Genomic DNA, 14963 nt, shown 5'->3' on the forward strand with positions numbered 1-14963 from the left:
CAGATCCCAGCCAGGAAGAAGCTGGTTTATGCAGTTAGGATCTTCGGTGCAAGCCACATGGAGATTGATCTGAACTCAGATGCTCCATCCAGTGGGCTGTGCTGATATTACAACTCTGTGTGTCTGCCGAGATGCTGCCGTGCAAGAAAAAATGATGTGGTATCATGTATTCAGGATTTCTGTAGAGTGCACGTCCGTGACTTTTAAGTAAATGTTGATCATGTGCGGTGAAAAGTGCCATTTCACCTGTGTGGAAGGAAGCTGCCTTACTTGAATGAGCTTCTCTGAGTGCAGATGCAGCATGCTCTTGGGTTTTTATATTTTATATTTTTATAGTTGTGCCAGTCCTTTGCGTTTTTGGGCATTTTCAGGAATAAGGCCAAAGAGAAGTGTTTTGGAAATGCAGGCATTGGGCTCGTTTGGGATCTGAGGTTTGTGTCCACAAACCCACATGACTTTGGGGGAAATGCTTACCCTGAGAAGCCCAAGGGAGCCCCCCCAGAGCCCCAGTCTGCAAAGATAAGAATTGGTAAATTGGAGGAAGGGAAAGTGTGCTTCATTTAGTGATCTGTTGCCGCCCGAAGTGTGGCGTTCTGCCTGCATCAGCTGCTTGTCCTTGTGCGGGATGGTGGGGAGGTGACATTTAGGAAATGTGTCCACCCAGGAACACTTGGTATTTTTCAGAGTAACTGTGCATGGAAGGACACAGGCGCGTGCACATGTGAGGGGGTGCTCTGCTGGAGCGAAGGGCGTGGGCGCTAGAGCCACAGGGAGCTGGAGGGAAGGGCGTGGGCGCTAGAGCCACAGGGAGCTGGAGGGAGGGGCGTGGGCGCTAGAGCCACAGGGAGCTGGAGGGAAGGGCGTGGGCGCTAGAGCCACAGGGAGCTGGAGGGAAGGGCGTGGGCGCTAGAGCCACAGGGAGCTGCAGGTTGTGGTGCTTACGCCCAGCCCAGGGCCTCCAGGATCTCAGGGCTCCCGCAGTGAGCTTCATAAATGAAAGTAGAAAGCTGTTATTTGTGTCTGGGCAGCCAGAAACACTTGCTTCTTCTCAAAGGCTCTCTGATGCCCTGAGATTCTCCTGCCACACTCTGGAGTCCAAAGAGCTATTTATTACTCAGGGCCCCAAGTATGTTCTTAAAAAGAGGGAAGATGGTCCCTAGGCAAGGAAACCCACATTGCCTAGAAAACTGTTGGCTTATATCAGATTATACGAAAACAATCAACAACAAAACCCTGGCCTAAAAATTATGTTATATAATGTTTTAAAGCAGTTTAAAGAAACTTATTCCATGGGCCTAACACACCTTCTTCAGGGAGGTGTTTGAAAAGAAACGCATCCTCTGACCTTTGTTACAAGACTCCTACATTCTCTTGGCTTTTCATGGGCAAGCCCTGGCACCATCTTGGAAGCTGCTGCCATCTGTAGCAGTTGCGCTGCCGGGAACATGAGGCTCCTGTCACACCCACAGATGTGGCCTGTGTCCTGGGTGGGTTCGTCTGAGTGCTGGCTCTCTGGAGCAGGCCCAGTGGAAGTGGGCCTTGTTTTCCTCGCCGTGGTGGTGAGAGGGTGGGTCCTCTTTCCTTTTGCAGGGATTACGTTCCTTCTCCTTTCCTGCTCCTGTGAGGACAGCTCGGAACCTGTCTTAGCTGTGGCTTCTCTGCAGAAAGTAACAACCTTGTCTTGGTTGTCACTGATGGCCTCCAGGACACAGTAGGCAATTCAGCCAGGGCTTAAGGCAGCGACTCTTAGTGGGGCACCTAGACCATTGATTAGAGAAGACAACCTGGTATGCCGGCAAGGTGTGAGCAAAGGCTGCAGGCAAGGTGTGAGCAAAGGCAGTAACTGGAGGCCTGATTTGGTTTGCAGTGCCTGTTTGCGCATTCCCTCCGGAAATTTTCCATGAGAGACTGGGGCATCGAGCAGAAGTGGATGTCTGTTCTCCTGCCTCTGCTGCTACTTTACAATGGTGGGTAGTTCCATTTTTACTTAGGAACTTTTCCCTTTAAAATGTAAAGCTGGAGGCCAGGTGCAGGGTTGTGCCTGTCATCCCAGCACTTTGAGAGGCTGGGGCAGGAGGACTGCTTGAAGCCAGGAGTTTAACACCAGCCTGGGTAACATAGCAAGACTCTACAAAAAATAAAATTTAGCTGGGCATGGTGGTGCGTGCCTGTGGTCCCAACTGCTTGGGAGGCTGAGGTGGGTGGATTGCTTGAGCCCAGGAGTCTGAGGCTGCAGTGAGTCATGATGACACCACTTCACTCCAGCCTGGATAACAGAGCAAGACCCTGTCTCTTAAAACAAAACAAAACTAAAGCTGGAAGCCATCTTGGAGATGGCCTAGGCCCAGAAGAGCCCGTAGGGAGCCCCAGAAGGAACATGTAGCCGTGTGCTCCCTGCCACCCCAGGAGCCATGTTCCACCGAGCTGGGGCAGATGCCTGGCTCTCTAACAAATAGGCGGCTGTTCGGTAGTTAAAACTTGGACGTGCTACAGACACAGCAGTCCTGGAACTTGGCTGAAGGTGGCCAGACATGGCTGGCTGTTCCTCTTTTCCTGCTCCAAAAGTGTTTGCTTCCCGAGCTGCCGCAGTCGGAACTCCCAGGCTCCGGGAGGAGCTGATGGCAGTGGCATACGGCGCTCTGTCGTGATCAGTGCAGCAATCTGTTCAGTGGCTTTTAGGTGTTTTGGAAAACAAAATAGCCATTGGTTCACTACCTTTCCTTTGGCTCTGACCAGGGAGAAAAGCTGGTAGTGAGCTCAGACCCTGCAGTGGGATGGGGTGCTCTCTGCTAGGTGCTGACCCCGCACAGGTATGGGGTGCTGTCTGCCAGGTGCTGACCCCGCAGAGGTATGGGGTGCTCTCTGCTAGGTGCTGACCCCGCAGAGGTATGGGGTGCTGTCTGCCAGGTGCTGGCGGGCCTGTTTTCCACATGGATTTCTGCCCTTTGTGTTCCAGATCCGTTCTTCCCCCTCTCCTTCCTGGTCAACAGCTGGCTCCCAGGGATGCTGGATGACCTCTTTCAGTCCATGTTCCTGTGCGCCCTGCTGCTCTTCTGGCTGTGCGTGTACCACGGGATTCGTGTCCAGGTGAGCCGGAGCCGCCCTCACTGCCGGGGGAGGTTCCAGACTGTGTCCTCCCTCCCGAACTCTGAGGACAGCCCAGAAAGGTGAATTTATCCATGGAAGCCTGTCTGCAGGCCCATACTCAATGGAAAAATCACGTTATGTACAATTACCAATTTGGTTTTCTTTATTTCTTACTTCTTATTTTTTTCTTTTTAGGGAGAAAGAAAGTGTTTAACTTTCTATTTGCCTAAATTCTTCATTGTTGGACTATTGTGGTTGGCTTCTGTTACGCTAGGAATATGGCAAACGTGAGTAATTCTATTATGTGTGAAACTTCAGTCATGAAAAGCATTTGACAAAAGTGGAAAGGCCAGGCCAGGCGTAGTGGCTCACGCCTGTAATCCCAGCACTTTGACAGGCTGAGGCAGGCAAGTCACTTGAGCTCAGGAGTTCAAGACCAGCCTGGGCAACATGGTGACACCCCGTCTCTACCAAAAATACAAAAATTAGCTGGCCGTGGTGGCGCATGCCTGTAGTCCCAGCTCCCTGGGAGGCTGAGGTGGGAGGATCGCTTGAGCCTGCGAGGCACAGGTTGCAATGAGCCGAGATTGCACCACTGCACTCCAGCCTGGGCAACAGAGTGAGACCTTGTCTCAAAAAAAAAAAAAAAGGTGAAAAGGCTTACAATCAAACTGTGTTCTGTGAACTCATCCAGAAAAGAATCAGCTTTCAGTTTATCTAACTTGGTGACACAGTAGACACCCCTTATTTTTGGGGGATTTGTTCCCAGACCCCCATTAACTATCTGCGGTCTTGGATAGTACTGATCCTTATATATAGCTGTTTATACCCTATGTATACCCATACTATGTTTTTCTTTTTTTTTTAGACGAATAGGAGGGTGACTTTAGTCACAGGCTGCTCAAAAACACAGGCTGCAGAGAACAGGATTTGGATTGGCAAACTCATTGTACCCTCATGTCACACTCCTTCTTTGCTCCTACCTTGGAGCATTTTGGCTGGGAGGCAAAACCCCAATGCTATTACAGGCAGTCCCCTTACCCCTCATTCCACACCCACTACCCAGAAACTGAAGCCTCATGACCCGCTTTGAGGAAAAATATCCCGTCCTGGTTTTCTGTGTTCCAGTCGGCCTTCCAAACACATCCTCCCCCTGGGACACAGACTTCAGGCCAGCCTGTATTACGTCAGGTTGCTAGTTGCCCTTTTCTGGGAGACTCCCAATGACTGTGCCCTCTCTGCTTAAAGACTGTAGAGGCAACTGGTGTTCTCACGCAAAGTGGCCAGGGTGTGGGAGACTAGATCTTTGACTCTGGCAGTCTCCAGGACTGTATGCAAGGCCAGGCCCAGGTGGGCATACTGGCAAAGGCTTTTGGGAACCCGGCTAGGGAGGAAGTAGGGAGCATCCGTTTCCATGATGATTCTCTCCAGTGGGATCTGCCTCAGCACTTCCCGGGCTTCTCAGGTGGAGGAGTACGTCAGGACTGCCATGAGGCCCACCGACGTTGGGAAAGTACTTCAGCAGGGGTTCCATGGCCAGGTAGCTGCAGTGAAGCAATGCTTGTGTATCTTGTAGTCAGAGAACACACATTTTCTCATGGTGTCCAGCAGATCCTCGTCAGCTTGCTGGCAGAGGATCACCAAAGCTTCTCTAGAGACGCAGCCAGCTCAAGCTGTCTCTTAAATACCTTGTGATGTTCTGGGACAGGCATGGTGCACTTGTAGGAGTAATTGAAGCCTGTTTCTCCAAATGCCACAGTCGTGGGGTGCCTTAAGGCTTGTAAAAGATTTCTTTCCTGACTCTTATTGTAGTAACATGGAAAATGAGGGTGACAGCCAAAGGCCCCCCAGACCAGATTCTCTTTCAACAGCTCCCCCCGTAGGCAATTTGTCAGGGTGAGGGTGGCAGAGGTCAGAGATGCAACCCTGAAATTCCTTAGAGAAGGAGCTGCTGTAAATTCTTCTGAACTTAGTCAAGGTCCCTTTGAAAGACAACTTGGAATACAGCATATCCAAATGACAGTGGGTATCAGTGAAGCCCTGCTCTAGGCTTGGCTCCCAGTGGCTCTTTGGCAGGGAGCTGGATGTGTGTCCTCCACAAGGACACAGAGGCATCTCCTCTTGGAATGTTCTTCTTTGCTTCACCTCTTTTCCTCCCGAGCTTCTGGAGAAGTGAAATGAGTGAGAATTCTGGGAGCTGCCTTCCTCTGAGGCCTCCACATCTCTGGAGACGTTATGGGCGCTCACTGCAGAGTTGGGGGAAGAATCACTCAGGCACTCGGGCTGCTCCTCCCAGCCTGTGCTGCGTCATTGCTGCTGCTGCTCACAGACAGGTAGCCGGCAGGCTTGGGGCTGCTGGTGCACTAGCTGACATACTCACACCAAGGACTACTGTAAAAATGAGGCAGGTACATGACATAGTAGTGAAGGAAGAAGGCTCTGGAATGGCTGAGGGTTTCAGTGGGACGGGTTCCTCCTGAGAGAATCTGACCGTGGAGATCTCCAGATCAGACCAGTTGCTTCCTGAAGAGGGGTGCTCCATCACCACCTCCCTATCTTTATGCTTTCGGATTTCTAAATGAGAGAGTCATCCAGAAACTCGAGGGGTGGAGAGCATTTGTCAGTGACTGTCCTTTGGTCCCCAAGGGGCTCCTCAGTGGGTTTCTCCTGAGGGTCTGTGACTACTCTCCTGTCACAGAAGCTGCTCCTCTCTGGCACTGTCTTGTCCTTCTCCACTGACCTCTGGGATTGACTATCCTTCTCAGCAGGGGTGACTGTGACACTCCTGGCTGTTCCTTCTCAGTCTTGGCTGGTCCTTCACTCCTAGCTGGTCCTTCTCCACAACTGGGACACTCTGCTATGCTTGGTTTTGAACTAGTGACAGCCTCTCCCTTCCTTTTCGGCATTGATTTCCCTGGATGCCCTGGTTAGCCTCCAGGTAGATCATTGTGGAGCCCTGATGTCGAAGTCTATCCGTCTTCCTTTTCTGGACCTTGTTGGGTTCCTCAGTCGTATCATTCTGACTCTCAGCTTCAGTTGCAAATTAAGAGTTCATGGAGTTACGAGAACTATCTTTGGAATCAGCCTTAAAGCTGCAGGCTTCCTTTTCTAGAGAAGCTATTTCTTCTAGAAAGGGATTGGTAGGATGTGGAGGGGTTCCCCCTGACGAAAGGACTCCCTGAGTGCTCTGAATCAGGCAGCCTTTGGTGGCGGCCCCGCCCACACCTGTGCCCGAGGAATGCCGGGGAGGAATGTAAGAGTTAAAGAAAGGAAAGAAACAGGAAAAGCGGCTCAACAGTCAAAGACAGGTTTGTTTTGGACAATAAACCTGAGAGGGCCTTCTGGCCGAGTTAGGTCAGAGTCACTCTCTCTTACAGGCTAAGAGTATTTAAGGGTTCAGGGCAGAAGAGGTTATCACAGGCTTGGAATGTTTCTGTATCTCTTCGCCTTGCTTATCTGGGAGGGGGAGGTTTTGTGTCTGTTCCCATACAACTCCCTGCAGCTGCAGGGATACCCCCCCCACCTCCTAGTCTGCTTTTAGCTTGTCTATCTTAGCGCATTTAAAGGGAAAGGAATGTGCTTATTAGGGCCTACTTTTTTACTGGGGCCCATTTTTGGGGGCCCATTTACACTCCCAAAACATGAGTGTGAAGTTCGGTGGTTACCCAAGAGACTTGGGTGCCCAGCTGTGCCCAGCTGTCTTATCTGTGTTTTACTGTCTACTCTTTCTGGCTGCTTTTTGTTAGAAGTGATTTCCTTGAAACGTAAGAAGTTAGAAAGGGAGCTGGAACTGAAAATGGGGGTGTTTGTCCAAGATGACGGTGCTCCTGCTCTGTCATTCCAGACCCTATAGTTATAAAAGGACCAGGGGCGACGTGTTCTTTCTGGTTACTTCCTGCTGGGTGGGAGAGGTAGAGAGTCCCTTGGTCTCGGATTGACTGCGGGAGCAATGCCGTCTGTAGATGTTTTGGATAGTTGTCTGTGAAATAGCCATGCTCCTGTCAGTTAAGAATCTTTGAAAAAGGTTAATTAGGCAGGGTAAAAACATTAGTCCTAGGCTTATTATTAGGAGAGGGCCCAGGAATGGGATGACCCATGGTATGCTTTTTGTTCCCAAACCAATAATTCATTTGGTTGTTTTGGTATTCGCTTAGCATTTTAGCCCTTTGTTTGAGATTTTTAGCAGCCTCTCTTACGAGACCTGATTGGTTGAGATAGAAGCAACATTTCTTTCCCAATGAGAGGCAGAGGCACATGTTTGGAAAGACCCATGTGTTATTTTTTATTAGTAACTGTTATTCCTGCTGTAAGGATAGTAATTAAGCAAAATGCTACGGTAATTGAGATTGTCTGTCTGATATCCTACCCTCAGGGTGCTGCAGTACATAGTCCTACTGCAAATAGTCCAGTAAAGCAGTTCCCGCAAGGGTGGCATGGTAAATAATTTCCATAAAAAAGCTTTAATATTTGGCTTAAAAGGAGAGGTAGAAATGACAAAAAGTACTTGGTGAGGTAAGAGTGAGACTGAGTCAGATGAGTAATTGTCACTCAGTTAGTTATTTTTTATGATTTTCAACTTAAGATTTCTTATTTCTTTACATTGATATTTAGGACGTTCCTCTGGGCTGTTGGGATTGCTTCCTCAGCTTTTCAGGCTTTGACTTGAGTGTGATGTATGCAGGGGTTGATTCCTGTAACAGATGTAATTTAAACTGTCGAAAACCATAAAAATTGAAAAACATCAGTCAAGACTAGAATTTAACAGGTGTGCTATAGTTTTTGAAACCTAATTTTCTCTCTCCAGTTTACCATTTTTATTAAAAGACAAATCATAATAGGACTGGTTTGCTTTATTATACTTGGCTTATTTATTTGTATACAGTGCAGCAAGAGTAATTATTTGCTACATACACCTTTTAAATTGGCTTTGATGGAACTTTTTTCCATAGAAGGAATCAGATAAGACTTTCCAAAGCCAAACCCAGCCATGGATTTGTACCATTAAATACCTATGAGTTGGGTGAATTCCTTTCCTCTTGAGGTTTCAAGATAACTTGGGGTTCCTGGCCTGTCAAAGTGACATGCTTTGCTTAGCACAGGTCAGAAACTCTGTACAGGGACTGTGTACACAGAATATGAGACCAGTTTCCAAGGGCTTTCTTGGCTTCCTAAGTCAAGTTCGATTCCTTAAAGGAGAGCACACCATTCCAGTGAAAGCCTTGGCAGAATAACCAGTTTCTCCAATTGTGTTCTGTTACGCAAGAAAATATATTCTTACCGCACTGATGCACACAACTATATTGTTGTGGTTTAAGAATACTTATAACTAGTTTTCAAATTCTAGAGGAACTAGGCAGAGAGAAACAAACATCTTTAAATCCTAATATTTACAGGAGTATATTTAGTTTAAGACAAGTTTCCTTGACTCTGGAAAATAAAATAAGGATTGGCAGTGTCCTGTTCGGATACAATCAGAAACACAATTGACAAATAAATTTGGTTATTTCTGTGGTTTACAGTAACCCAACATAACCTTACTTGTGATTAATAGCACATATTTAGATACTAGAACCTTAGACATCCCATACAGTTTTAGAACATATGTTAATATTATTCCCTCAAATAAAACCTATTGGACATTATCTTGACAATTTCATGTACCTAAACATGTTAAATAATCCTGTTTACCTCTTTTCTGGATGCTCCAGGGGCCTTCTGCAGCACCCAAAGGCCGGGGGTTAGGAAAGACAACCTTGAGACTAAAGTTTGATTTGGGGAAGCCTGTTAAATATGTTGAAAATTTGAAACACTTGATAGTATGAAATAGAACTTTAGATTACCATTAAGTTTTTGCTTCGCCAAAATGATGAGTTAAACATTTGAAAGCAAAAACCATTCCTCATCCTTTTTATTACATAAAAATCCTCTTTAAGAGAGAAAGTTGAATTTTATCCTTGCATTCGTTTGCTATTAATATTAACCCTAATTTTTAATGAAACCTTATAGACAATCCTATTTAAAAAAAATTTTTTTTTAATTACACTTTAAGTTCTAGGGTACATGTGCACAACGTGCAGGTTTGTTACATATGTATACATGTGCCATGTTGGTGTGCTGCACCCATTAACGCATCATTTACATTAGGTATATCTCCTAATGCTGTCCCTCCAACCTCCCCCCACCCTACGACAGGCCCTGTTGTGTGATGTTCCCCACCCTGTGTCCAAGTGTTCTCATTGTTCATTTCCCACCTATGAGTGAGAGTATGTGGTATTTGGTTTTCTGTGCTTGGCGATAGTTTGCTCAGAATGATGGTTTCCAGCTTCATCCATGTCCCTGCAAAGGACATGAACTCATCCTTTTTTATGGCTGCATAGTATTCCATGGTGTATATGTGTCACATTTTCTTAATCCAGTCTATCATTGATGAACATTTGGGTTGGTTCCAAGTCTTTGCTGTTGGGAATAGTGCTGCAATAAACATACGTGTGCATGTGTCTTTATAGTAGCATGATTTGTCATCCTTTGGGTATATATCCAGTAATGGGATGGCTAGGTCAAATGGTATTTCTAGTTCTAGATCCTTGAGGAATTGCCACACTGTCTTCCACAACGGTTGAACTAGTTTACACTCCCACCAACAGTGTAAAAGTGTTCCTCTTTCTCTACATCCTCTCCAGGACCTGTTGTTTCCTGACGTTTTAATGATTGCCATTCTAACTGGTGTGAGTTGATATCTCATTGTGGTTTTGATTTGCATTTCTCTGATGGCCAGTGATGATGAGCATTTTTTCATGTGTCTTTTGGCTGCAGAAATGCCTTCTTTTGAGAAGTGTCTGTTCATATCCTTCACCCACTTTTTGATGGGATTGTTTGATGCTTTCTTGTAAATTTAAGTTCTTTGTAGATTCTGGATATTAGCCCTTTATCAGATGAGTAGATAGCAAAAATTTTCTGCCATTCTGTAGGTTGCCTGTTCACTCTGATGGCAATTTCTTTTGCTGTGCAGAAGCTCTTTAGTTTAATTAGATCCCATATGTCTATTTTGGCTTTTGTTGCCATTGCTTTTGGTGTTTTAGTCATGAAGTCCTTGCCCATGCCCATGTCCTGAATGGCATTGCCTAGGTTTTCTTCTAGGGTTTTTATGGTTTTAGGTCTAACATTTAAGTCTTTAATCCATCTTGAATTAATTTTTGTATAGGGTGTAAGGAAGAGATCCCATTTCAGCTTTCTACATATGGCTAGCCAGTTTTCCCAGCACCATTTATCAAATAGGGAATCCTTTCCCCATTTCTTGTTTTTGTCAGGTTTGTCAAAGATCAGATGGTTGTAGATGTGTGATATTATTTCTGAGGGCTCTGTTCTGTTCCCTTGTTCTACATCTCTGTTTTGTTACCAGTACCATGCTGTTTTGGTTACTGTAGCCTTGTAGTATAGTTTAAAGTCAGGTAGCATGATGTTCCAGCTTTGTTCTTTTTGCTTAGGATTGTCTTGGCAATGTGGGCTCTTTTTTGGCTCCATATAAACTTTAAAGTAGTTTTTTCCAATTCTGTGAAGAAAGTCCTTGGTAGCTTAATGTGGATGGCATTGAATCTATAAATTACCTTGGGCAGTATGGCCATTTTCACGATATTGATTCTTCCTATCCATGAGCATGGAATGTTCTTCCATTTGTTTGTGTCCTCTTTTATTTCGTTGAGCAGTGGTTTGTAGTTCTCCTTCAAGAGGTCCTTCACATCCCTTGTAAGTTGGATTCCTAGGTATTTTATTCTCTTTGAAGCAATTGTGAATGGGAGTTCACTCATGATTTGGCTCTTTGTTTGTCTGTTATTGGTGTATAGGAATGTTTGTGATTTTTGCACATTGATTTTGTATCCTGAGACTTTCCTAAAGTTGCTTATCAGCTTAAGGAGATTTTGGGCTGAGACGATGGGGTTTTCTAGATATACAATCATGTCATCTGCAAACAGGGACAATTTGACTTCCTTTTTTCCTAATTGAATACCCTTTATTTCTTTCTCCTGCCTGACTGCCCGGGCCAGAACTTCCAATACTATGTTGAATAGGAGTGGTGAGAGAGGGCATCCCTGTCTTGTGCCAGTTTTCAAAGGGAATGCTTCCAGTTTTTGCCCATTCAGTATGATATTGGCTGTGGGTTTGTCATAAATAGCTCTTATTATTTTGAGATACGTCCCATCAACACCTAGTTTATTGAGAGTTTTTAGCATGAAGCGCTGTTGAATTTTGTCAGAGGCCTTTTCTGCATCTATTGAGATAATCACGTGGTTTTTGTCTTTGGTTCTGTTTATATGCTGGATTACATTTATAGATTTGTATATGTTGAACCAGCCTTGCATCCCAGGGATGAAGCCAACTTGATCGTGGTGGATAAGCTTTTTGATGTGCTGCTGGATTCGGTTTGCCAGTATTTTATTGAGGATTTTCACATCAATGTTCATCAGGGATATTGGTCTAAAATTCTCTTTTGTTGTGTCTCTGGCCAGGCTTTGGTGTCAGGATGATGCTGGCCTCATAAAATGAGTTAGGGAGGATTCCTTCTTTTTCTATTGATTGGAATAGTTTCAGAAAGAATAATAGCAACTCCTCCCTGTACCTCTGGTAGAATTCGGCTGTGAATCCGTCTGGTCCTGGACTTTTTTTCGTTGGTAAGCTATTAATTATTGCCTCAATTTCAGAGCCTGTTATTGGTCTATTAAGAGATTCAGCTTCTTCCTGGTTTCGTCTTGGGAGAGTGTATGTGTCCAGGAATTTATCTATTTCTTCCAGATTTTCTAGTTTATTTGAGTAGAGGTGTTTATAGTACTCTCTGATGGTAGTTTGTATTTCTGTGGGTTCGGTGGTGATATCCCCTTCATCATTTTTTATTGCATCTATTTGGTTCTTCTCTCTTCTTTATTAATCTTGCTAGCGGTCTATTTTGTTGATCTTTTCAAAAAACCAGCTCCTGGATTCATTGATTTTTTTGAAGGGTTTTTTTTGTGTCTCTATCTCCTTCAGTTCTGCTCTGATCTTAGTTATTTCTTGCCTTCTGCTAGCTTTTGAATGTGTTTGCTCTTGCTTCTCTAGTTCTTTTAATGGTGATGTTAGGGTGTCAATTTTAGATCTTTCCCGCTTTCTCTTGTGGGCATTTAGTGCTATAAATTTTCCTCTACACACTTCTTTAAATGTGTCCCAGAGATTCTGGTATGTTGTGTCTTTGTTCTCATTGGTTTCAAAGAACATCTTTATTTCTGCCTTCATTTCGTCATTTACCCAGTAGTCATTCAGGAGCAGGTTGTTCAGTTCCCATGTAGTTGTGAGGTTTTGAGTGAGTTTCTTAATCCTGAGTTCTAATTTGATTGCACTGTGGTCTGAGAGACAGTTTGTTATAATTTCTGTTCTTTTACATTTGCTGAGGAGTGCTTTACTTCCAACTATGTGGTCAATTTTGGAATAAGTATGATGTGGTGCTGAGAAGAATGTATATTCCATTGATTAGGGATGGAGAGTTCTGTAGATGTCTGTTAGACCTGCTTGGTGCAGAGCTGAGTTCAAGTCCCGGATATCCTTGTTAGCTTTCTGTCTTGTTGATCTGTCTAATGTTGACAGTGGGGTGTTAAAGTCTCCCATTATTATTGTGTGGAAGTCTAAGTCTCTTTGTAGGTCTCTAAGGACTTGCTTTATGAATCTGGTTGCTCCTGTATTGGGTGCATATATATTTAGGATAGTTAGCTCTTCTTGTTGCATTGATCCCTTTACCATTATGTAATGGCCTTCTTTGTCTCTTTTGATCTTTGTTGGTTTAAAGTTTGTTTTATCAGAGACTAGGATTGCAACCCCTGCTTTTGTTGTTGTTGTTGTTGTTGTTTTCCATTTGCTTGGTAGATATTCATCCATCCCTTTATTTTGAGCCTATGTGTGTCTCTGCACGTGAGATGGGTCTCCTGAATACATCATACTGATGGGTCTTGACTCTTTATCCAATTTGCCAGTCTGTGTCTTTTAATTGGGGCATTTAGCCCATTTACGTTTAAGGTTAATATTGTTATGTGTGAATTTGATCCTGCCATTATGATATTAGCTGGTTATTTTGCTTGTTAGTTGATGCTGTTTCTTCCTAGCATTGATGGTCTTTACAGTTTGGCATGTTTTTGCAGTGGCTGGTACCGTTGTTCCTTTCCATGTTTAGTGCTTCCTTCAGGAGCTCTTGTAAGGCAGGCCTGGTGGTGACAAAAATCTCTCAGCATTTGCTGTCTGTAAAGGATTTTATTTCTCCTTCACTTATGAAGCTTAGTTTGGCTTGATACGAAACTCTGGGTTGAAAAGTGTTTTCTTTAAGAATGTTGAATATTGGCCCCCACTCTTCTGGCTTGTAGAGTTTCTGCTGAGAGATCAGCTATTATTCTGATGGGCTTCCCTTTGTGAGTAACCTGACCTTTCTCTCTGGCTGCCCTTAACATTTTTTCGTTCATTTCAACCTTGGTGAATCTGACAATTATGTGTCTTGGGGTTGCTCTTCTCAAGGAGTATCTTTGTGGCGTTCTCTGTATTTCCTGAATTTGAATGCTGGCCTGCCTTGCTAGGTTGGGGAAGTTCTCCTGGGGGATAATATCCTGAAGAGTGTTTTCCAACTTGGTTCCATTCTCTCTGTCACTTTCAGATACAACAATCAAACATAGATTTGGTCTTTTCACATAGTCCCATATTTCTTGGAGGCTTTGTTCGTTTCTTTTTACTCTTTTTTCTCTGAACTTCTCTTCTTGCTTCATTTCATTCATTTGATCTTCAGTTACTGATACCCTTTCTTCCACTTGATCGAATCGGCTACTGAAGCTTGTGCATGCGTCACGTAGTTCTTATGCCATGGTTTTCAGCTCCATCAGGTCGTTTAAGGTCTTCTCTGTGCTGTTTATTCTAGTTAGCCATTTGTCTAATCTTTTTTCAAGGTTTTTAGCTTCTTGGCGATGGGTTCGAACATCCTCCTTTAGCTCGGAGAAGTTGGTTATTACCGATCTTCTGAAGCCTACTTCTGTCAACTCGTCAAAGTCATTCAGAGGAAGGAGTTTTGGAGGAAGGAGAGACCTAGGGAGGGTTTTTTGTTTTGTTTTTGTAAGAGAAGGATGTTGGCCAGGCGCGGTGGCTCACGCCTATAATCCCAGCACTTTGGGAGGCCAGTGCAGGCCGATCATGAGGTTAGGAGATTGAGACCATCCTGGCCAACATGGTGAAATGCCGTCTGTACTAAAATACAAAAAATTAGCCAGGCGTGATGGTACACACCTGTAGTCCCAGCTACTTGGGAGGCTGAGGCAGGAGAATTACTTGCACCTGGGAGGCAGAGGTTGCAGTGAGCTGAGATTGCGCCACTGCACTCCAGCCTGGCGACACAGCGAGACTCCGTCTCAAAAAAAAAAAAAAAAAAAAAAGGAGGATGTCATGAGGGGTGCAAGGTTGACATAGAGAGGGTAGAGGAAAGCCTGAGTATAGGGAACCTCTTGCCATTTGCCATTCCTGGTGATAAAATTGTCAAGGTCCCTGAGAATCTGAAAGTTAAAGGGTGCTGTTCTCAGGCAATTGGCTGTTATTATCTTGTTTGTATTGGGACCAGGCCATATTGCAATAAAAAACTAAACACTTTGGCTTTAGGAGTCCCTGTGAGCCAAGTTTGGCGAGGTTGTGAAGGAGACAGCCCAGAGGGGAGGCGTGGGAATGTGGGATGGTTTGGCACCATGTGGGCTGGTGAGAGGAGGCCCGGGGGGGTCTATTTTTATTAGGCATCCCCAGACAAGAGACCTGGAATCTTCTTTCCAAAGAGGACAGTTAAGCTGAGAAGAAACTGGGCGCCCCCAAGATGTCCTCTAGCTTAGTCCCACTGG

The 14963-nt window shown here is 44.9% G+C and overlaps 1 protein-coding gene, 1 non-coding gene and 1 pseudogene across 19 annotated transcripts in view, besides 1 other annotated feature; 2 read left to right on the plus strand and 1 right to left on the minus strand.

Annotated features, from left to right (window-relative positions):
• The window catches only part of TMEM181 (transmembrane protein 181), a 98790-nt gene that overhangs the window by 68737 nt on the left and 15090 nt on the right, over positions 1-14963 (plus strand). For 13 of the 18 annotated variants that reach the window (NR_164859.1, NM_001376817.1, XM_011536000.2 and 10 more), the window contains 3 exons: positions 1868-1967; positions 2957-3087; positions 3283-3374. Coding sequence is in view for 17 of the 18 variants with exons in the window: in NM_001376817.1 (NP_001363746.1) it covers positions 1868-1967; positions 2957-3087; positions 3283-3374 (323 nt within the window). In the remaining variant the exon portion in view is untranslated. Of the gene's footprint in view, positions 1-1867; positions 1968-2956; positions 3088-3282; positions 3375-3955; positions 14727-14963 lie in introns of those variants that run through there. The other 5 variants (XM_011536003.3, XM_047419182.1, XM_047419187.1 and 2 more) reach the window with 2 other exon arrangements.
• Positions 3943-4444: an enhancer, noted in NCBI's record as "H3K27ac hESC enhancer chr6:159030351-159030852 (GRCh37/hg19 assembly coordinates)". NCBI's record gives its function as "activates a minimal SCP1, AML or CMV promoter by ChIP-STARR-seq in primed H9 embryonic stem cells {active_cell/tissue: H9 hESC(primed)}" and the evidence as "EXISTENCE:reporter gene assay evidence [ECO:0000049][PMID:30033119]".
• Positions 3952-6350, minus strand: TATDN2P2 (TatD DNase domain containing 2 pseudogene 2; annotated as a pseudogene).
• Positions 4331-4414, plus strand: MIR7161 (microRNA 7161). The gene has a single exon (NR_106981.1). It is a non-coding gene; the product is annotated as a microRNA 7161 (primary transcript).

This window comes from Homo sapiens, chromosome 6 (assembly GCF_000001405.40).
Source record: "Homo sapiens chromosome 6, GRCh38.p14 Primary Assembly".
In the NCBI taxonomy this organism is placed as follows: Eukaryota; Metazoa; Chordata; class Mammalia; order Primates; family Hominidae; genus Homo; species Homo sapiens.